The 23,141-nt window shown below is 44.1% G+C and overlaps 1 protein-coding gene across 1 annotated transcript in view; it reads left to right on the top strand.

The window, feature by feature from the left end:
- Window positions 1-23,141, top strand: part of ENPP6 (ectonucleotide pyrophosphatase/phosphodiesterase 6) — a 129,168-nt gene that overhangs the window by 60,613 nt on the left and 45,414 nt on the right. The window contains exon 2 of the mRNA NM_153343.4: window positions 3,528-3,707. Coding sequence (NP_699174.1) covers window positions 3,528-3,707 — 180 coding nt within the window. The remainder of the gene's footprint in view (window positions 1-3,527; window positions 3,708-23,141) is intronic.

Below are 23,141 nucleotides of genomic sequence, written 5' to 3'. Positions count from 1 at the left end.
TAGAGATTGACAGACAAGGAACATGGTGGGGTCAGCGGATGCAAAACTACTAAGAAGAAACATCAAGGGATTCTGGCCAATGAATTCTGGCTAGATCTACTCAACAGAACTCTTGCTGAAGGCAGGCAGGGTGGTGAGATATTGAGGGTGGTCAGATACCAAGCGTGGAGGATTATCACTAAACTGACTTAGCAGGATTCTTGCTCAACCTGGACTCTACAAGAAAAAGGAAGGAAGCCCAAGTTTGAGTCTAGTTGAGCAGAGGACTCAGAAGTCAAAGAGAAAGTCTCTGTGACCATGAGTTATAGGTAAGATGGACATATCCTCTACCTTCTCGTGAGATGTGAAGGCCAGCCATTTCTGAGATGAAACATATAACATGGTGCAGAAGTTTCTGGGGGCCTTGCTAAGAAACTTCTTGTGATGGTCACTACGTCGAACATGCTTGAGTAAGACTCTGTGGAATGAACACCGAAGGTGTCATATCCCACCCCCTTCATACAGCAGTTCTAGCTATGGGAACGATTCCAGGAGCTCTCTCTGAGAAAGGCAAACACATATTTCAAAGCCCCCAGAGTAGTCATTTGGAGGAGGAAGAGCTGTAGACATTCCTTACATCATACCTGAAAACCACTTGCAATTGTGGTGTTGGAGGATGTCAGGAAAGTTTCTACTCAAGCCTTGAGCAAAGAGACCAAAAAACCACACCACATCCAAGCTCTGTTTGGAAAGCACAACCAGAGAAAAACCCAGAACTGCAGTTGTATAAAAATAGATATGGGTCAGGCAGGAATATGGAGATGAGAGCTCGTGGGCTGCAGAAGCCAGTACATTGTGTTCTGTTCTGTTCTTTCAGCCACCAATTTTACCGAGGCAATAAAAATGAAAGAGCAAGAGAGGCAGAGGGTTGGTAGGGAAATCAGCTTGAGTCTGAGTCGACTTCGACTGTTCCAAGCACAGACTGCAGCCTTACTGTATTCATGGGAAGGCGGGACAAGATCTGAAGCAGCCTCCTCCTGCCAGCTTCCGGGAAAGGCTGCTCTTCCCAGAGCAAAGGAAGCCCTGGGGACAGCACACCCTCCCATCTCAGCTCAGGGCCCAATCCACCAAAAGAAGAAACCCAACTTTCTCCACAGGAGTCTGAGGTGACCTTCTTGAAAGCGCTCCACCTTATAGGAATTCTCTGGGAGAATGTTCTCTCCATCTCTCTCTCTGTCTCTCTCTGTCTCCCTCTGTGTTTCTGTCTCTCTCACACCTGTGCATGCATGCACACACACAATCCAGCCATACAACAGCTCTGCAATCCACAAGAAGCTCCTTATAATTTTCTACTCAGAGAGCAGAGAACAAAGAAGAATGAGTGAGTTTGGACACTTTAGAGTCCAGAGTGCTAAATATGTGCGTTGAAGAGAAGAGAGAAATTTTCACCAAATGATATGGGGTTTCTGAGATATACAAGTATAGATTATATGTACTTTAAAAACTGTTTTTTGGTTGCTTCATGCTTCCTTGTATGCAGCCTTGTGAAAACTACATCATGTGAAGCCTCCATTTATCTCTGGGTTTCATGGCCTTGTTCTAAAATGGTCCAAACAATTCAAGCTTGGAAGCAGAGATCCCTCCACCCCTCTCCCTCGGCATCTCTCCCTATTATTCCCATGTCTGATATCCCTGGTCCTTTCCTGATGATTCATTCAGAGGCTCTTCTTTGGTTCCTGACCTCAGGAATGATGCTTCCCACACCCCCTTCCAATTTTGCACATTTGCTCAGCTTCTTTGCACACCAGCTGCAGTTGAGATAACCTCCTGCACTTGGAAGGGCATCAGAGAACATCTCTCTATGAGGAAAGACTGTCCACGAAGGAGGCCTTTTCCTACAGATATGATCATGGTTATTTTGCCTTGTGAAAGGATGAGTAAGCATCATTAGGATAATACAATTTGTGACACAGAATGCAAAATTTTGAATAAAGGAAATAGATAAGTACTTTTACTTGTAAGAGGGGCTCTCTTAATATGATTCAACTTTCATATACTAAAAACGATAATATAGTTGAACCAATAGATTAGGACCCTACTTTTAATGAGTTGGTGAGAACATACTAGGAATTATCCTCTGCAACAGGGTGAGCGAGGGTCATCATAACTCTGAAGTTGTGGCTGCAACCTGTCCTCCTTCTCAGACCCAGCCCCGGGAAGCCTGGCTCTTTTACACAGAGGACCCTCTGTTGAGTATTAAATTACAAGTCTCTTGAGGATGGGCATGACATTTATTCAGATTGGAATCTCTACATCTATCACAGCCTACAATACATAGGACTATATATGTAAGAGCACTGAATACATGTTAGTTGAAACAATAAATAAAATAACTTCCTTAACCATTGCCAAAATTGCTCAACATCTTAATTTTATTTTATTTTTAATTGTATTAATCTTTTTAATGTGAAAGTTTTGGTCAAGATCAAAACACTAATTCTACAGCTTTGGGTGAAAACCATTTTTGCTGGGATCTCTGGGAGCACAGTAGCATAGTTTGTGGCCTGCCTTGCTTTCTGGGATGAAATGAAAGGTTTTTCCATTTGATATTTTTAGTGTCTATTTTCCAAATAGTATTTTATAATTTTTCTTTGTTTCTGTTTAAAAATAAAATTTTGGGAGGGGTGGGGAGAAGAAACAACAACAGTAAAACAAAGAAGAAAAGCCACTTGATTAAGCATAGTTAGGGAGCTCAGTGAAGCATGTTTCGTCCTGGTGCCAAATGACGCTCACTAAAATTGCAGCAATTTTTGATGCACTTGCCAATGTTTGTGTTATTTTTACTTTAAAGATGTAACAGATTGCTCCAAAATAAATAATTTAAGCCTAATGTTTCAAAAGAGTCCAAGCGTTTGCGTCTCTCACTTCTGGCTTGTCTTCTGGGACTAAGCTGTGCTCAACAGAACCAGCCCTCGTTTCTGTATAACACTGCATTTGAAGGGTTGTTTTCCTGCTTTGTTTTTCAAAGTTGAATCTATTTTTCGCTATTCTGTTCCAAACGTCATAGGTTTTATCACTGTTCAGAGCTGAAGCAACAACTCCTCTTATTTAAGAAAGGAAAGAATAAACGCTATAACAGCTAGATTGCTGATCTCACGGGAGGAGGGTTTGGAGGGTGCAGAGAGGGCTCTGGGGTGAGAATCTGAGACCAAGTCTCAGAGGAATCCACAGATGTCCATGCTAATTCATATTTAGACTTCAAGCTCTGCACAGTGTCCTCAGTGTAACTTAAAACAGCTGACTTGACAGGGTGACGTCACTCTAAATGACCCCACCCTCCATCAATTAGTGGACATCTAACTGGATTGTCTACCTTCATGGCACAGCTTAAGAAAAAAAAATCTGATTTTTTTTTAAAGTCAAAAGCAAATCTTTATGCTGTTCTGTACTTCCTAAACGAGCACGAATGGCTTATATGATCAAGAAACAAAGATAAAAATAGAAACCACCAGAACCGTAAACTGACAGCTGTGTTCTCATTGACATAGGCCGCCATTGTGAAGTCCATCAGATGATCGGGAACTACATGTGGGACCCCACCACCAACAAGTCCTTTGACATTGGCGTCAACAAAGACAGCCTAATGCCTCTCTGGTGGAATGGATCAGAACCTCTGTGGGTCACTCTGACCAAGGCCAAAAGGAAGGTCTACATGTACTACTGGCCAGGTGAGTGTGTGAACATCCATTCCAAATCTCAAATCATCATAGAGTCTCTGAGGACAGTCGGTGTCAAGTTACTGTTTGAAGACCAAGCCGTGGTTTGGAAAATGGGATCTTTATTTAAGAAATATGTATTGGCTGGGCACGGTGGCTCAGGCCTGTAATCCCAGCACTTTGGGAGGCCGAGGTGGGTGGATCACCTGAAGTCAGGAGTTCGAGACCAACCTGACCAACATGGGGAAACCCTGTCTCTACTAAAAATACAAAATTAGCTGGGGTGGTGGTGCATGCCTGTAATCCAAGCTACTCGGGAGGCTGAGACAGGAGGATCGCTTGAACCCAGGAGGCGGAGGTTGTGGTGAGCTGAGATTGCGCCATTGCACTCCAGTCTGGGCAACAAGAGCAAAACTCAATCTTGAAAAAAAAAGAAAAAGAAAAGAAATATGTCTTATGGGCACATTTTTGAAAAATGTGTTTTTAACTCTCTAACATCAGACCAGAGATAATGCTATTTCCTGATTCTCTTGACATAGCAAACACCACAGGATAGCTTGCTTTTTTTCATGTGCAAAATGTTGGATATACAGGAGAGAGAAATTATAGGGTGCTTACTTGCTTTACAAAAAAAAAAACAGTGTACCATTTCCATACGTCATTGAGCTCCTCTACAATATTGAAAAGAGAATTGAAAGCACTCGCTATTTTTTGGTAGTCCATGAAATGAAGTCCCTTTGTGTTAAGACTCCCATGCTACATCCTAGCTCAACGAGGTAAGTAGTCATGCAAACTGCCTCGGCTGCTGTGAGAAGTCCTCGGGACACCCTCATCTTGGTCACTGAATATCTTTCATTAAGGATGAGAGGATTCAGTGATAACAATACAACCCGCTTCCCATTGTCTTTCCATTGGTGGGATTCATTATTTAGGTAAGTGGTCAGTTTACCTTTCCCACGCCCGTGGCAATAGACACTTTTTTCCTGATTCTCAATGGTGTCATCCTGATGATGGCCATTATGGAGGAAGATACCAGGGGAGGCCTAGAACGTTGAAGGCATAAATGAAGAGCAGCCTGTAGGAGATGGGGTGAAGTGGCTGAGGGGGTCGAACTGGTCTGGATTGAGGACAGCGGCAGCCTGATGGGTCTGTGAGTGGGCGGTGGGTTGTGAGATGTGTAGTCTGCAGGGAGGGGGCAGTGGAGAGGGGGTGAAGGCCCACAAGGATTGCGTGGGCCTTCAGCAGGAGTTTGGAGGATGCTGGATAGAGGTGGGTGTGTGGGGAGCTGCTGGGGCACTCCAGGCTATGCAACTCTCAGAGGTACATGGAACACAGACACACGGAGACCGCGGAGGGCAGCCCACCACCCAGCTGTGGTGCGGCGTGGCGCGCACCGTACAAGCTGCTGCAGAGCAGTGGCCTCACCCGCAGGTGAGCTTCTGAAGGCCAGGGCAGGCTGCATGAATTCACAGCTGGGCCAAGCAACAAAGACATAGCCAGCACAGGCTCTCCCAGCAGACACAGCTTCAGGGGGGTTGATCACAATTTCTTCAGAAGACACCTAAGATTCCTTCCATAGCAGCCACCTCGGCTGACGCAAGACACCTTTGAGCAAAGGAAGAGGAAGAGTTTAGGAGGATTCCATTATCTTACAAGGAGATAACTTTTCGTGGAGTTGGACTAGATTTAAGGAAGGAAGTCACTGCACGGAGCAGGCTCATCAGGCTTGCTAGAGGAGCCAAATCCAGGGGTGAGTTTGACTCTTCTAGCAAGTGTGATGAGGTCAAAGCACAAAGATTTTGTTGCACTTTGAGGTCATTCTCAGAGGCATTATTATCAACAAATTCATACACAGGCATAGCAGAGGGAATGGATTGGGCACACTGCATTAGGGACCACCCGGAAACAAATCTGAGGAGCATCAAGATGAATGTGGCCAATACCATGAGGATTATCTTCCATGATAACTGGATAGTTTGACTTTCACTATCTTAGAACTTAAGTTTTTCCTCCTTTGAAGAACACACCCTCACACACAAAACCTTCCTGCCAACAACCCTTGAGCCCCCTCCACATAAGATCTCCTGGAGAGGGCCTTTCATCTGCCAGGATGCCAGTGCTACAGCCAAGTGGGAGGAGATCCTACTGAGGGGCAGTCGCCGTATTGCACACACTTCTCTCTGCAGCAGTACAGGGTATTATTATTGTGCTTTATCTCCTTTTGTTTTTGACAGAGTTTCACTCTTGTTGCCCAGGCTGGAGTGCAGTGGCATGACCTCTGCTCACTGTAACCTCTGCCTCCCCAGGTCAAGTGATTCTCTTGCCTCAGCCTCCAGAGTAGCTGGGATTACAGGCGTGCACCACCACGCCTGGCTAATTTTTGTATTTTTGGTAGAGACAGGGTTTTACCGTGTTGGCCAGGCTGGTCTTGATCTGCTGACCTCAGGTGATCCACCCACCTTGGCCTCCCAAAGTGCTGGGATTATAGGCATGAGCCACTGCTCCAGGCTTTTAGCTCCTCTTGGAGAATACAAATTTATATAGCACTGAGTGTCTAAAGAAATCTGAAAGCTAATTTGCATGAAAAATATCTTGTTGCTCCTCCAAAACAGCTCCTTCAGGATAAGAAGGGACCAATATCTTCCTCTGATTCACAGTCTAACAGCTAATGGGATGTGACAAAAATGCCTTAAGATCATTTACAGTGTTAACTGTCAGGAGGAAAGAAGCTATAAAGATAGCCTCCTAGAGTTTCCTCAGTGACCTAAATGAAGATTTGCTGAAGATCTGGCTGTGCTGAAGTCTTCATAGATATAGAATAAAGTCTCTAGTCTCTCAGACACTGTCTAGTCCTTCTAAACTGGATACTCAAATGAAACTCTCAGAGAGCCAGCTGTCTCTGCTGCCAGCCCAGCAAGGTGTGCCCTGGCACCCTCTCATCTTCCTGGGGGGCAGCTGCAGTATTTCTGGTTGCTGCTATCCTTTCTCTGTCTACCCTGGTTCCCTCCAGCCTCAGCCAATAGCCCAATGAGCACTCATGTGTCTCTGCAAGATTAAGTGAGGCGCAGGGGCATTTCTTCAAAACACAACTTGATTGTATTTTTCTTCTTAAATCCTCCTCTTCCTTCTCCACTCCCCACAGGATATTGTACAGACCTCTCGGTGAGGCCTGGAAAATCTTCGTTGCTCTAGTGAACTGGGTTATGACACGCTGAGTTTCGCCATTAAGTCAATATTTAGAAGTGCAATTTAGAAATGGCACTAGTTCAAGTCTTCCTGTCAGGTAGATAAAGCAGCAGGCTGAAAAATTGACCCACAGTGAAGAGTCCAACATACTCCACCTCAAGTCTTGAGGCGTTTAATATAGTTCAACAGGCCCTTTAGCACGCCACCCAGTGTTGCCATTGGAGTGCAGGGAGAAATATGCCTCTGGAAATGATCCCAGGCCCTAAGTCAGGGGAGGCCCCCCAAATCAGCCAGAAATTGTATATATGACCCAGTAGTGTACTGCAAGGAGTAAGAGCTGAGTGTGTGTTGTTCACTCACTTAATCCCTCCACCTTATCCTTCTAGTTGAATGTTAAAAGAATTGGCAGGGGTTGGGGGCGGTGAGGAAAAGACTCCAACATTCACTTCATATTGGAAAGAACCCAAAGCAGAGAATAACTATGGGAGGAAGGAGGGAAAATAGGGAATATGGGAGAATAGTAAGATATGGTGTAGAAATGCAGCTTGATTTCTTTGGATAAGCAGGGCCACCTTACATGCTGGCAGCAGTTTTTAAGTTTATTTTTACGACTATTGTAAAATACAAAAAAGGAATAAAAAATAGCAACCTTTTAAGAGTCTGTGCTTAAAACTCTTTGGAGTTCTAAGTTCACATCTCCCACCATGCATTTTGCAATGTTATCTCCCTACAGCCAAGCAGTAGGGAGGACTTGGATGCAACCACTCATATGCTCCTGGAATGGTGTTGGGTGTGGGTCTGGGCTCTTCTCCTGGCCTCTTCCTGCCCAGGGCAGGCCTTCAGACCAATAAGACACCTTCTATGTAGAGAAAGACACATTTCCACCTGGTTTCCAATCCCACACTTTCCAGCAGTGGGCTGAGTGGGGAGTTAGTGGGTGGGCATTTGACTCAGCTTCTATAAAGTTTTGCTTGTTACAATCAAGGTGACATCATCTGGATAATAGGAGGCATGCAGTGGCTATTGGTGAAGAATTATGGATCAGGTACAGCCTCTTTCTCTTTCCTGCCATGGTAGGTCCTTGACAACCTTCAGTCAGGCTGACCTTAGAAGCAGAGGCTCAGGCACAGGGAAAATTAGGAGCTCAGCATTGCTCATACAGAGGCGTGAGTAAACCTGATAGCTAAGTCACGGCCTCTATGCATGTGACACCAATCCTCTGGATAAAAACTGGAATTTTTTTCAGGCAGATGTCAAAACACTGCAAACACAAGTGGTCTGGATATCCACTATTTTTTAAATAACATTACCAGTTTGGCATTAGACTTTGTGGTTTATGTAATTTTAGGACTGGAAGAGGCCTTAGTCAAGGCATAATTTGCTGGTTCCTGCCCTCATTAGTCAAGAACCTCTTTAGGAAACTGATAAAAACTGTAAACGTCTTTCCAGAAGAATGCATCCACATCCACTACACTCACACTTTTGTTCTCATGTAGTATAAGAGATTACAATGCTGAGGACTGCCAAGCGGTCCTTGATGTGATAACATACACATACCTATGATAGCTAATTGATTTGGTTTTTTAATGCAATAGAAATGTGTTAAAAACTCATCAAAGTATCAACTGAAACCTAAGCTTCTGCAATTAATGTCTGGCAAGGGCAGGCTTGGGTCAAAATTCTGTAAGCCTCTTTGGGTTGAATTCACATTGCATCATTTCCTTTGTCAGTAACTTCGGCAAGATCTGCATCGCTGATGTTGTCTGTGTCAGCAAGAAAAGGATTGCAAATTCACATCTCAAGAGTGAGATTGTCTCCACAAAATGATCTTCAAAAGCATTCTGCAGGGTTTCTAGGCGTCGACCATTTCTGCTGCAGAGAAATAGAGGAGATGCTGCCTCTTTGGACTGCTGTCTGCAGAAGTGATTCCTGCAGTGTTCAAAAGTTTTTATAGCTGTCTAACCACATCCAATCTCCCTTTGCAGGATGGTATCTTGGCCAAAAGAGTGCATAGTTTTTTAGCAGCATCCATTATGTTGATTAGAAAGTTTTAACGAGAAATCCAGGGACGAACTTCCAACCTTCACAAATCATGGCAAATCCACTTCTTCACAAAACATCTTTAAAGGGTGTGACTCAAGGCCTTGGAATGAACTCTCAGGAGACAACCATGAGCAAAAGCAGATACAGACCCTCCTCACCTGCACCCCCTCCCGAGAACTTACCATCCAGTGAAGGAGATAGATGATCTAATACTTATCAAAATAAATGTAAAAGTACAGTTATCAAAAGTACAATAATGAAAAGCAAGCATGATGACATCATCTAATAAGGAGTCTAGCTCCCTCTGAGAGGGTTAACAAAGGTGTCCTTAGAAAGTGACACGAGGGGATGGGTAAGGTGGGAAGGAGACCCCAGACTCAAGGAGCAGCAGGTGCTAAGGCCCTGGATGGGGTGGGAAGCATGCAAGTTTCAAGACACTGAAAGAAGGGAGGAGAGGTGTGGTGTGGATAAGGTGGAGAGAGGCTGAGGCCAGGCCAGGCTCTAAGAGCCAAGCTGAATACTTTTTTTTTTTTTTTGAAACAGGGTCTTTCTCTGTTGCCCAGGCTAGAGTGCATTGGTGCAATCATAGCTCACTGCAGCCTCGACCTCCTGGGCTCAAAGGATACTCACACCTCAGCTTCCTAAGTAGGTGGGATGATAGGGGCACACCTCCCCACCCTGCTAAGTTTTTTACGTTTTGTAGAGATGGGCATGGGGTCGGGGGTGGCGGGGGTTTACTATGTTGCCCAGTCTGGTCTCGAATCCCGTACTCAAGCAATCCTCTTACCTCAACCTCCCAAAGAGCTGGGATTACAGGCATGAGCATCTGGCCCATGCTGAAGCATTTATTCTGATCGTGAAATGAATGAGAAGTCACTGGAAGGTTTTAAGGAAGAGCGTGATGGCATCATACTTGCATTTTGAAAGCACTACTCCGGCTGCAGCCTGAATGGAATGGAGACATCCAGGGTGGGTGAATGAGGGCAACTGACACATCAGGAAGTCACTGTAGAAACCCGGAGAGCAGGTGAGCATCGCTCAGACTGGGCAACAGAGGTGGTGAGAAATGGCTGGGTTGGAGGCACACTTAGGAATTGGAACTGCCAGGACCTGCTGATGGATTGGATTTGGGAGTAAGGGATTGGACGGTGACAGGCATGGCCCTGGGCTTCTTGCTCACAGAACTGCATAGATGGTGATTCTTCACTGAATCGGGTGGAGCTGAAAGAGAAGCAGTCTGAAGGCAGAGGGACATCAATTCGGAGTTGGCTCTGGGACGTCGAGCCGGCAGGTCTGAAGCTCAGAGAAGAGGGCTGGAGATACAAAGACGTGACTCAATGACGCATCAGAGGTCAATGCAGCTGTGGGAATGGAGAAGTTTACCCAGGGAGAGTGCAGAACTGGAAAGAAAAAAGGGTCCTGGACACAGCCTTGAGGAAATCTAATTGTTAGTAACCAGATGGAGGAGGGTGAGCCTGCAAAGGACACCAAGGAGGAGAGGCTTCAGAAGCAGGAGAAGCCCCAGCAGAGCTGTGAAAAGCAAGGGGAGGTAGTATCACTCTCTGCGTAGCCATCTGATGAGGGCCCCATCCCATCTGAGAGGCAGGGAGAGGCTTCCCTGAGACAGTGACACTACTTGACAACTGTTGACACACACTTGTTCCAGAGGCCAAAAGAATGCAAGACAGAGTGGGCATCGTGAGCATTTAATGTTGCTGAGCTGCAAAAAGAGCATCTGCATTTATTAACGGGGCACCCCGGCCAGCTCTGGACTTTGCGGCTATTTCATTTCTTTAACATTATAATTTCTGACTTTGTGTAGCAAGGATGCATTGTTTTTATAGCAAGAAAAACAATTCAGGTTGTTTCAACTAATTTCTTTCTTTCTTTCTTTCTTTTTTTTTTTTGAAACGGAGTCTCGCTCTGGAGCCCAGGCTGGAGTGCAGTGGCGCAATCTCAGCTCGCTGCAACCTCTGCCTCCCAGGTTCAAGCAATTCTCTGCCTCAGCCTCCCGAGTAGCTGGGATTACAAGCACCCACCACCATGCCCAGCTAATTTTTCTATTTTTAGTAAAGACGGGGTTTCACCATCTTGGCCAGGCTGGTCTTCAACTCCTGACCTCATGATCCACTCCTCCCAGCCTCTCAAAGTGCTGGGATTACAGGCGTGAGCCACTGCGCCTGGCCGTTTCAACTAATTTCTAAACATTGTTAGTCAACGCTTGAAAATTGGCTGAAAATGAACTGGGATATACACAAAAAAGAGAGGACAGGGTAAGTAACAGCAGACAAACTAAACCAAAAAAAAAAAAAAGAAAAAGAAAAACTTAAAATCACAGAGTCATGAATATTCCTTTTAAACCAAATTATTGTTTTGACCAAACTGGTGTGCTAACCAAATTATTTCCAGCCAGATTGCTTTGTTCCAAATTTGTTTCAACACAACTGCATAATACTCCATTTATTCTTGGGCAGTCACTGGCCCCTATGGGTTTACAGTAAGGAATTCCCTGACACGCATCGCACATCTATCGGAGGTTTTCAAACTGCATTCACTTGCCCTCAGCTTCCCAGTCAAGCTGCAGTGGCTCAGGGGCTGGGGAGGCAGGAGATGGCTGGAACTTCTTTGGGAAAAGAGTTTCTCTGAAAAAGAAATTTGGACATCAACTGCCTATGCCGTTCACTGATGTGTTCATTCCATGGTGGTTTTCTTGTGTGGCCTGTGTACATGGGGCACAGTCGGAATGTGCCACAGCCCTGCCACCGAGGAGCTTAGAGCCTAATTATGTAGCCAGGTGTGTCAAAAATAATCGCATCACAGCACAACGCGTGCAGCGGGCAAAGGAGACCAACCTCGGGCTTCATCACGTCTCCTTGCAGCTGTGTTGTGACCACTTCTTAAAATCAATTGAGCGCTGCCTCAGGAATGGAAAACAAAATGTGTCATTTGATGCTTTCATGTTGAAGGAAAAAATAAAGAAGAAAAAGGGGAGAGGATAGAAAGGAAGGGAAGGAAGAAAGAAAAGGAGGCAGGGAGGTGAAAGGGGGAAGCAGCAAGGCAAAGGAAGGAGGAAGGGCGGAAGAGAGGAGATAAGGCTGAAGGGACTCGGGAAGGACTGACGTTCCCTAGGCTGAGCGAGTCGTTCCACATGCAACGCTGCACTCAGACGCCTGCAAATCAGAACAAGTGAACTGTGTTTCAGGGTCTCTCCTTGAGGCAGTGGCTAGACCAGCGCATGAATGCGGGAAGGCCCTTCTCAGGCTGCTCACCTCCTCCTCCTCCTCCTGGCGCTCCACCTGGTCTGCCCTGCTGGGCCCAATCCTTCCCTGGGCCTGCCCTTCCTTCCTCAGTGCCCTCTGTCCTCCGCTGACCTGATCAGGAGATTTCAACCAGGGCCGGGGCCGTGGGCTGTCAGGCCACACACTATTTCATCCTAACAGTCCTCAGTGCCTTACATAAAGGAACGATGAGTACGGGATTGTACCCCAGGGTGGGACCCAGTGAAGAAGACCTTGTTGCTCTCAAGGTCAAGTGCCAGCTACACATCCTGAGGCCTCTCTCTGGGCTGATTTTGGGGTTCCAGTGTCCTGCCTGCTCGGAGCTTGTTTAGGGTGAAGAAGGTTCCTTCCCACGGAGAGTGCCATCTGACCTGGAGCAGGCGCTGGTAGCAGCGCTCAGGACCTGGGTGAGGCAGCCCTGCCACCTCCCTTTGCCTCCTACCTTAGTTAGGCCATTGGACTTGACGTCAGGCTCCCTGGGAAGCCTTGGCTGCTCCAGACTCCTGCAGAAAGAGGGGTCTCTCCAGAGAACCCCAGGGGAAAGGCTGCCCCCGATCCGTTCCACAGGGCTGGGGAAATGGAGTCTGAAGGAGCACGCAGAGGAAAGTGAGTGGCGGGGCTGCCGTTTGGGGCTGTCTGTCCCGTCCCGCCTGCGAGGTCCCTGCACTGGGACCTGGTTTCTGGCCAGGTCTGGAGAGGGCCTGGCACTGCTGGGGCTCCTGCTGGCCTTCCCAGCTGTGCCAGCCCAACTCCCCAGAGCACAGTCTGGGGGTGGTAGATTTGGAGGGAGGAGTCCTGGCAAAGTAACGAAGAGGGCTCCAGGTAGGTACCCACATATTAAATTAGCCCTCAGAGGAGAATGCCAGAGTCTGAGGTGTTTGGTGAGTGGGGCAGTCTGCACCCTTTCCGCATCATACGCCTTCCTCCTAGGCCTAGGCCCCATTCTCTGTCAGCACCAAACCCCTCCTAGAGCAGAAAGGTGGCTTGGGGGCCCGGGGGGCCCTGCCAGCCTCTGCTGCACCTTTCCTAGCTGAGTCTGTGGGCCCTTGGCTGTCTGATCCAGGGCGCTGTTAGAGGGACTTCGCTGTGGTGGGACAGAGAGGTGGCACTTTTGCCTCACCTGAGCCCTTGGTGTGCAGACAGCTGCGCCCCCTACCTGCCTGTCCCTCCTGTTCAGCTACAGTGTTTTCAGCACTTCACTGGAGCACTTGAGGAACTTCAGGGCAGAAGATGTTTTTTTAAAAAGCCAGAACATGGATTCCAGATCCATGCAGCCACTCACTCACTGCGAGGCGCGCAGAAATCCCTTAGCCTCTCTCTGCTCTTCCCTCCCCCTCTCTGCAGACCCCGCACTGGGCTGCAGAGGGGCAGAGGGCAGCAGGAGCCATGTTCCAGATTGCCCAGAGAATTCCGGGATTGGCCATGAGGGCCAATGAATGACAGAAAGCGGGGCTCCCAGGAAAGGGACGCACAGCGGGAGAGGCCACGAGGTCCATGGAGAAGGGGAGGAGGACAGAGCCTGATCGTGTCATGTCTCAGGGCTCACCCACAGAACTGAGGCAGAGGCGGAGCTGATTGACAAGGGCACAGGACTGGCTAGTCCAGGAGAGCTGGTGCCGGGCTGCTGCCCAAAAACTGCAGAGAAGAGGCTTTGCAGGGCCCACAGACACTGCTCCCGCCTTGCCTCAGCTCTTCCTATGAGTGGCTCAGAACCACCTGAGAAGGCTGGGAGACCATGAGACTCCAGTAGACATGAGGGATAAGGCCATTTGTAAGACTTGGGAATCAGAGATTCAAATTGGAGGGGTGAGGAAGGAATTCCTAGACAGGGGCAAGAGGTTCAGCAACCCTGATGAGCTTTGCATTAAAGGACTTGTCAGCATGTTGCATGCCAGGTAGGTTCAGTCTGCTGTGATCCAAATGCGAGGAAACCAGCTCCTCGGAGAAGGAGAAGGAGGCTTTGGTCAGGAAAACCGTGTGGTGCAGAAAGTCAAGAGGGCTTCCTTTGTGGGAAGCATGGAGTCACTGTAATCCTTTCAAGATTGAGAAGGTCATGAGGCACGTGCCTCAGACACAAAGACCCTGTGGATCGCTTATGTCAAGTGGCCTGTAGGGGCTGTAATTCCAGTCGTGGTCATTCATTCCTCTCACCTGGTCCCACTCGGAAGAAGTGCAGTCGCTGACCCTGGGCCAGGGATTTTTCCTGATCTAAAGCTAACCAGCAGATAGAGAGATGAAAGCGCGGCCTTTGGCCTCATTATGCCTGGCTGTAGTTTCACCATCTGCCTCCCTGAAGCTGAGACTCAGCCTGGGTATGGCACACGTTCCCTCTCATCTTGGTTTCCTATTAGTCACTTTGTGTGCCCAGTAGGTCATTTTCAGTTGAGTTTTCAGAGTCAGCGCTAATGGATGAGTTGGTTCTCATCTAATTTGTCTTCCTCAGCTTGCTCTCACCCCTGCACACAAGGCCAGTCTGCAGGGCCACCCTGCGCTCAGGCTAGCCCACCCTCTTCCTCCCTGCATCAGAAGGGAGCCACCGCCAAACGTCCCCCAGCCCCGTGGGCAAGGCCAACCCCAGGAAAAGTGTCTCTGAGATCAAAGGCCATGCTTTCCCCCAAGGACTTGTTCCCACAAGCTTCTGTGCCTCAGATGTATTTTCCTGGAAAAGGTTACGTGCTTCTAGGAGAGTTAATTGGCTTAGCTGTTTTAATAAGCTCTCTTGAGACATGCATTCAACAGTTGCACACCTGTCTCGCAACACATAAAATGCAGCGCACAGGGGTTATTGTTACAAGATGTGTCAAAGTTGGCAGGCAGCAGGAGCTACACTTGGAAGGGGAAACCTAGGCTCTAGGAAGTTTGGAGAAATGTAATTTTTATGGGCTCAACTTGGCGGTCCTTGGAGAGAGTTGCCAGGAAGCGAGTCTCCTTCAGGAAGGCAGTGCGCACAGTGGAAAGTACCAGAGCTAGACCCGATGGCTGGCAGGCCGGGAGACCTTGGGAGGTTCACCTCTCCCATAGGAGGCCTCTGTTTTCTCAGCTGTAGATGAAGGGGTTTGAGGTACGATGGCAGCTACAGCTGTGAAAGCTGTAAATTGCACAGGATGCCACATCTATGGGGGGCATCGTCCGTATTGTAGACGTTACAGATTTGCATATTTGTGTTGACAATTTTTGGTCCAAGCCAAAAAAGTGTTATAAAAAAATAAGTGTATCAAAATAATTTTCTAATGGGTGGAAGTTATATGTTTTGAAGAAGAAATACCTTATCATCATCATTATTATTATTATTTTGCACAAAAGCCTATGGGTTTAGTGACAGCTGTCATTGATTGTCCTTTAAGTTCTCACTAATGCTCTATTTTCCAATCAGGATGTAGAAGACTGCCCGAGATGGGAATACCCAGCAAGAAGGCAGACTCTAGACAGAGATAAGAGGAGGTCCTAAAAACTGAGCCCTAATTAAGGGCATTTCCCTGCGATGTTCCCTGGGAATGATGAGGAAACAAGACAGAATAAAGCTAAACCACGCCCTCAAAGTTGTCATGAAACCAAAATCTTGCCCCAAGTCCCTGATTAATGTTTGAAATTGTGAAAGGCAGCCCATCGCCCTTGTTGCCGCCTTCCCCACAGATCCCTGAGGCAGAGATTCAGAAAGCCCTGCTTTCCTCAGTCATGTTGGGGGGACTTGCAAGATCTCAGCTGACCAGATTCCATGCTCCCTGTGGAGCCATGAAAATGGCCCGGAGGCAGCAGCCTGCGAGGTTGAGCAATGCTCGCCCACTTCACAGATTGAGCCTGTGGGAGATACAGGAGAGGGGCCCACAGACTCCTGATTAGACAGCTGCCTCCTGGGATTCACACAACACTCCCCCTCCAGTCTGATTTCCATCAGATAAAAACTAGAGAAAACGAAACAAAGCTCCCACGCAAATTCACCTCGGTTAAATGTCTTCTTTTGAGAAGTGTCTGTTCATGTCCTTCGCCCACTTTTTGACGGGTTGTTTGTTTTTTCTTGTAAATTTGTTTGAGTTCATTGTAGATTCTGGATATTAGCCCTTTGTCAGATGAGTAGGTTGCGAAAATTTTCTCCCATTTTGTAGGTTGCCTGTTCACTCTGATGGTAGTTTCTTTTGCTGTGCAGAAGCTCTTTAGTTTAATTAGATCCCATTTGTCAATTTTGGCTTTGGTTGCCATTGCTTTTGGTGTTTTAGACATGAAGTCCTTGCCCATGCCTATGTCCTGAATGGTAATGCCTAGGTTTTCTTCTAGGGTTTTTATGGTTTTAGGTCTAACGTTTAAGTCTTTAATCCATCTTGAATTGATTTTTGTATAAGGTGTAAGGAAGGGATCCAGTTTCAGCTTTCTACATACGGCTAGCCAGTTTTCCCAGCACCATTTATTAAATAGGGAATCCTTTCCCCATTGCTTGTTTTTCTCAGGTTTGTCAAAGATCAGATAGTTGTAGATATGCGGCGTTATTTCTGAGGGCTCTGTTCTGTTCCATTGATCTATATCTCTGTTTTGGTACCAGTACCATGCTGTTTTGGTTACTGTAGCCTTGTAGTATAGTTTGAAGTCAGGTAGTGTGATGCCTCCAGCTTTGTTCTTTTGGCTTAGGATTGACTTGGCAATGTGGGCTCTTTTTTGGTTCCATATGAACCTTAAAGTAGTTTTTTCCAATTATGTGAAGAAAGGCATTGGTAGCTTGATGGGGATGGCATTGAATCTGTAAATTACCTTGGGCAGTATGGCCATTTTCACGATATTGATTCTTCCTACCCATGAGCATGGAATGTTCTTCCATTTGTTTGTATCCTCTTTTATTTCCTTGAGCAGTGGTTTGTAGTTCTCCTTAAAGAGGTCCTTCATGTCCCTTGTAAGTTGGATTCCTAGGTATTTGAAGACATTTATGCAGCCAAAAAACACATGAAAAAATGCTCACCATCACTGGCCATCAGAGAAATGCAAATCAAAACCACAATGAGATACCATCTCACCCCAGTTAGAATGGCAATCATTAAAAAGTCAGGAAACAACAGGTGCTGGAGAGGATGTGGAGAAATAGGAACACTTTTACACTGTTGGTGGGACTGTAAACTAGTTCAACCATTGTGGAAGTCAGTGTGGCGATTCCTCAGGGATCTAGAACTAGAAATACCATTTGACCCAGCCGTCCCATTACTGGATATATACCCAAATGACTATAAATCATGCTGCTATAAAGACACATGCACACGTATGTTTATTGCGGCATTATTCACAATAGCAAAGACTTGGAACCAACCCAAATGTCCAACAATGATAGACTGGATTAAGAAAATGTGGCACATATACACCATGGAATACTATGCAGCCATAAAAAATGATGAGTTCATGTCCTTTGTAGGGACATGGATGATTGGAAATCATCATTCTCAGTAAACTATCGCAAGAACAAAAAACCAAACACCGCATATTCTCACTCGTAGGTGGGAATTGAACAACGAGAACAACACATGGACACAGGAAGGGGAACATCACACTCTGCGGACTATTGTGGGGTGGGGGGAGGGGGGAGGGATAGCATTGGGAGATATACCTAATGCTAGATGACGAGTTAGTGGGTGCAGCGCACCAGCATGGCACATGTATACATATGTAACTAACCTGCACAATGTGCACATGTACCCGAAAACTTAAAGTATAATAATAATAAATTTAAAAAAAAAACTAAAAAAAAAAAATTCACCTCAGAATAATTAACTTTGCTCCCTCTAAAACTTTGCTAAATCTGAAACTGCTCTCTCTTCCACGCTCCATTTCTTTGCCATTGTCATTTATTGCTGGCCGTTGCCTAGCCAGTCATTTATTCACTCTGGGTTTTAACATTAGAGGTAAGGGCAGATGTTTTCCCTTTTGGGATTTCACTGTGGAGAGACCATTCTGCAGAGACGGAGCAGAAGGATTGCACCTGTCCAGTCTCCATCCACTTGGGTTGCAGTCCCATCCCTTCTCAGAGACACATGACTTCCACCCAAATGAACGGTGTCTGCAGGACTTGCAGTCAGAGCACCTCTGATGGGTGGAGATAGGACCTTCTCACCCCATTATCTGAGTCTGTAATCATCTTAGTAGATCGTAATTAGGATGTCCTATTTGCCCTGGCTTCGAAGTTTCTTCCTCTCTCTGCTCTGCACATAGAGCTTTAGTTGGGGGATAACCTTGAAGAGAATCCCTTATGCCATTGTCAGATGGATCTCACCTCTTACCTCCAACTGTCAACATCACTTCGGGCCCAGTTGCTTCCAGGATATCACAGTTCCCATAGAGTACAGCTTCTGCTGCCTAGTTTCTGAGTTCAGGAGTCTTCAGACTTAATTCCCAGGGATTTCCAAGAGCAAGATTAGTTTTAAAGAAACCAATTCTAAGATCCTCAACGTCCATACCTATTGCTAAAGTCATCCTGACTAAAAAATGTTCTTTCCTGTTATATGTAAGAAAAAGATACCTCTCACTCATCAAGAATATTCCTAAGATGCATTGACATGGTATATAAATGCCTTAGCACCAGACAGATGGTTCAAAATATTGATGTAAATGTTGGAAAGTGAGTGAATCCAGTAACAAAATAACAGAACTTAAAAGAAAAGATGTTTCCAGTGCTTGCTTTTTAATTATTTAAGAAAAACTTAATTGAGTTGTCAGCTGAAATGTTGTTTTCAAATGCATGATGATAGATCACTGTGTGATTTTGGCATTCAAAGAAGCAGTTCAAAGAATTAAATGACATTGGTACAAAAACTCCTTCTATTTCTATATATTTATTTATGTGAACAACTTTCTCAGCACTTACATTTAATGATTAGAAATAGCATTGATTCTAAACTTGTCTCATTCTAGAAATCAGTCATATTTATCCATGAATATACAAATTAATGTTTTAAAGCACACCTACTTCTTTCATTAAGACATGCATTTCTAATAAAATGTAAAGATAATTTCTAAAATTGTAACCTTTTATGTTTAAAAATTATTTATTGAAATGTGGGGTTCTAGTTGGTACAATGCCCAGCTAAGTTGTTTTGAAACAATGCATCTCTCCAGGAACAACTAGAAAAGCTGCTGGCCTGCATGCATGTGTGCATGTGATGGACCAGAGACATGCCAAGACCTGGAGAAAGAGGTGCATCCAGCAATGGTACCCATCTCTCCTTCAGTCAAATGCTGATCAGAAAAGCAGCAGTTGAGAGGTCAAGAGACATGGCAGCACTATTGGTTAGGGGAAAGGACAAAAATTGGAGTTCAGGGCCCACCAAGGAAAATAAATCTAGTAAAAATCCAGACTTTCAGTTGGAACAGTAAAAAGCAACACCCTAGCAGTAAGAATAAGCTAGAAATAGACAAGGGGCAAGCCTTCATAAAGACACAGCTAAGCTTCAAATCATCTTAATCCTTGACAATCCACTCTGGATTAAGGTAGTCTGCTCATAGCCTAAATCCTCACCATGAGCAAAACTGTGTGCTCACTGGAAGATAACTACATATCCTGTTAAGTGGTATTTACAATTTTATGCATATAATATGTAGTATTCAATTTAAAAAAACAGATTATAAGAAAACAAGGCCTGACTGAAAAACCAAGAGAGAGAAAAAAAGCAGAATAGACCCAAAACCACTATAGGCCGGGCACAGTGGCTCACGCCTGTAATCCCAGCACTCTGGGAGGCTGAGGCAGGTGGATTGCTTGAGGTAAGGTGTTCGAGACCAATCTGGCCAACATGGTGAAACTCCATCTCTATTAAAAATACAAAAATTAACCAAGTGTGGTGGTGGGTGCCTGTAGTCCCAGCTACTCAGGAGGCTGAGGCAGGAGAATTGCTTGAACCTGGAAGGCGGAGGTTGCAGTGAGCTGAGATTGCGCCACTGCACTCCAGCCTGGGTGACAGAGCGAGACTCCATCTCAGAAAAACAAAAAGAACTCTGATAAAAGACTAAATCACAAAATGGAGACCTGCAGTAGTAAATTAAAATCTTTTTTACAAAGGGAACTCTAGAAATAAAGACAGAGCTATCCAGCTTCAATGTGAAGAGGCAAAAGGATGAACAAGGCAGAAAAGAATGTAAGAGACATGCGGGATATAGTGAAGGGGTCACAGCAGGAGAGGGAAAATGGGGCAGAAGTAATATTTGAGTAATAATAATGGAGAATTTCCCCAAACTGACAAGAAATACCAAACTATACATTCAAGAAGTGCTGTGAAACAGGAAAGAGCATCATGGATTTCAGAACTGGTGAAAACCAAAGACAATGAGAAAATCTTAAAAGAAGCCAGAGAAAATTGTTCAGTGGGGCAATAATAAGACTGACAGCTGACTTTCCAACAAAATATTTGAATCCAAGGAGACAATGGAATGAGATCCTCAAAATGATATGAGAAAACAGTGATCAACGTAAAATTCTATATCAAGTGAAAATATTCTTCAAAAATGATAGCATAGTAAACTGAGACAGCAACCATAGAAAATATAGAGATAGCAAACTGAGAGAACTCATTGCCAGCTAGAGTAAAGGAAATATTAACTTCTTTAGACAGAAGGAAAATGATCACAGATGGAAGCACAGAGATGGAGGAGGAAATGAAGAGTAATAGAAAGGCTGAGTGTGTAGGTAAATTTAAATAAATAATAATACTAAAAATCCCTTTTTTGGATTAAAATCCTGTAGAGAATTAAAGTACATGACAATAGAAGCACAGAAGATGGGAGAAATGTAAATTTCAGAGTTAAAGTGTCTGAATGTTCTTGTATTTTCTGGGAAGTTGTGGAATGAAATTTATATTTTAATATAAATTTTATATTTATATAAAATTTAATAGACTAATAGACTTTAATAGACTAATATTTCCATTTTTATCATCGCTGGGGCCCTTTGCAAGGAAGAGGTTAATCAAAGTATACAAATAGCAAACTAATAGAGGAAGGGAAATGGCACAATAATAATAATGTGTACTTTATTCAAAAGAAATTAAAGAAGGAGAGGAAAAACTATCAAATGTGTGATGGATATGAAATGTAGTTAATTGGCTGATTTAAACACAAAAATATCAGAAAATACATTAAATGTAAATTTTAATTTTTTTACTAATATTTTGTTAAATATTTTAATGAATCAGAATTTATATAGTGTTCCATTTACATAAAATTCAAAACAGGTGAAGCTAATGTGCAGTGTTAGAACAGTATTCACCCTTGGGTGAACAGTGATGAGAAGGGAGCATGAAAAGGTGCCCACACGTGATGGCCATGTTCTGTTTTCTGACGTGGGTACTCAGTACACAGCTGCCTTTACCTTTTAACAATTCACTGAACAGTACCCTTATGAATTATTCACTTTTTTGCACCTATGTTAAATTTTGATAGAAATTTACTTTAAAAATGACTATCATCAGACTGGATAAAACCAAAAACTAATATAGGCTACTTATAAAGACATACATTAAATATAAGTATGCAGAAAGTTGAAAGTAATAGCATTTTTAAAAGACACATTGCACAAAACACTAAGAGAGCTGGTGCAGCTATAATAACATTAGGCAATGTAGACTCTAATGCTAGAATGTTTTTAAGTTAAGGACATTTCATGTTGATATCAATTTTTATCTGCTAAGAAGATGTAACAGTTCTAAATTGTAATGTTCCTAATTACACACTCTCAACATAAATAAGTCAAAAATGGGAAGCACTAAAAGGAGACACAGGTAAATTCACAATAATAGTGGATTTAAACACATCTTTCTCAATAACTGATAGAATAAGAGAGCAAAAAGTTAGAAAGATACAGAAAATTTACATAACATAATTAACATTTTTACCTGATTGAATTTACTAGAACTCTGCACCTAGCTGCTGAATGAACATTATTTTCAAGTATACATGAAATATTTATCAAAAATGGTCATATGTTAGCCATAAAACCTTTCTCAACAAATTGAAAAGGTCTGAAATCATCAGAATGTGTCCTCTGACTGTCATGTAATTAAACAATAATCAATAATAAAAATAAAAAAATCCTCATACATTTGGAAAATAACCAGACCTCTAAATAACTCCTGATTCAAAGAAGTAATTGTGAAAACTTAGAAAAATCTTGAACTGAGGTATAGTAAAAATGCTACTTATGATGTAGTGGCATAAGACGAATGCAGCTAAAGCCATCCTTAAAAGGAAATTAACAGGCATACAAGATGCATTAGCTAAGAAGACCAAAAGTAATTATTTGTCTCTAATTCAAGGCAAATTTAATTATCCCCAAATGTAAAGAAGAAAATCATGATGAGCAGAAATGAATAAAATAGAAAATAAACATACAACAAAGAAAACTGACAAAGCCACATTTGTTTTCAGGAAAAAAAAACTGTTAAAGTGGATGAAAACTTGACAAGGCTTATAAAGAAATAAAGAGAGAAGACACAAATAGCCAATAATAAAATGAAAAAAGGGACATCAACAGAGAACCTGTAGACCGTAAAAAGCCAGTAATACAGTGTGAAAATGTTACACCAATGTATTTGAAAGCACACATGAAACAGACAGATTGCTAGGGGAAACATCACCAAAACAGAAAAAAAGAAATAGAAAATTGGAATACTTCTGTATCAGTTTTAAAATTAAGTCTTTAAAAACCATTCCTAAAATAACCCAGTATTAGACACTCCACTAGTGAAGTTTTCAAACATTTAAGGAAAAAATAATAACAATCTTACAGAAATTCTTCCAGAGAATGCATAAAGATAAATCAAGCCAGGCATGGTGGTGCACACTTGTAATCCCAGCTACTTGGGAGGCTGAGGCAAGAACATCCCCAGAGTTCAGGAATTCAAGACTGGCCTGGCCAACATAGTGTGATACCAGCTCTAAAAATAAATAAATAAATAAATAAATAAATCACTTCCATAAT

The sequence above is a fragment of the Homo sapiens genome, chromosome 4 (genome assembly GCF_000001405.40).
Source record: "Homo sapiens chromosome 4, GRCh38.p14 Primary Assembly".
In the NCBI taxonomy this organism is placed as follows: domain Eukaryota; kingdom Metazoa; phylum Chordata; class Mammalia; order Primates; family Hominidae; genus Homo; species Homo sapiens.
The sequence above is the reverse complement of the archived record's forward strand: the minus strand, read 5'-3'. Positions and strand labels throughout refer to the sequence as shown.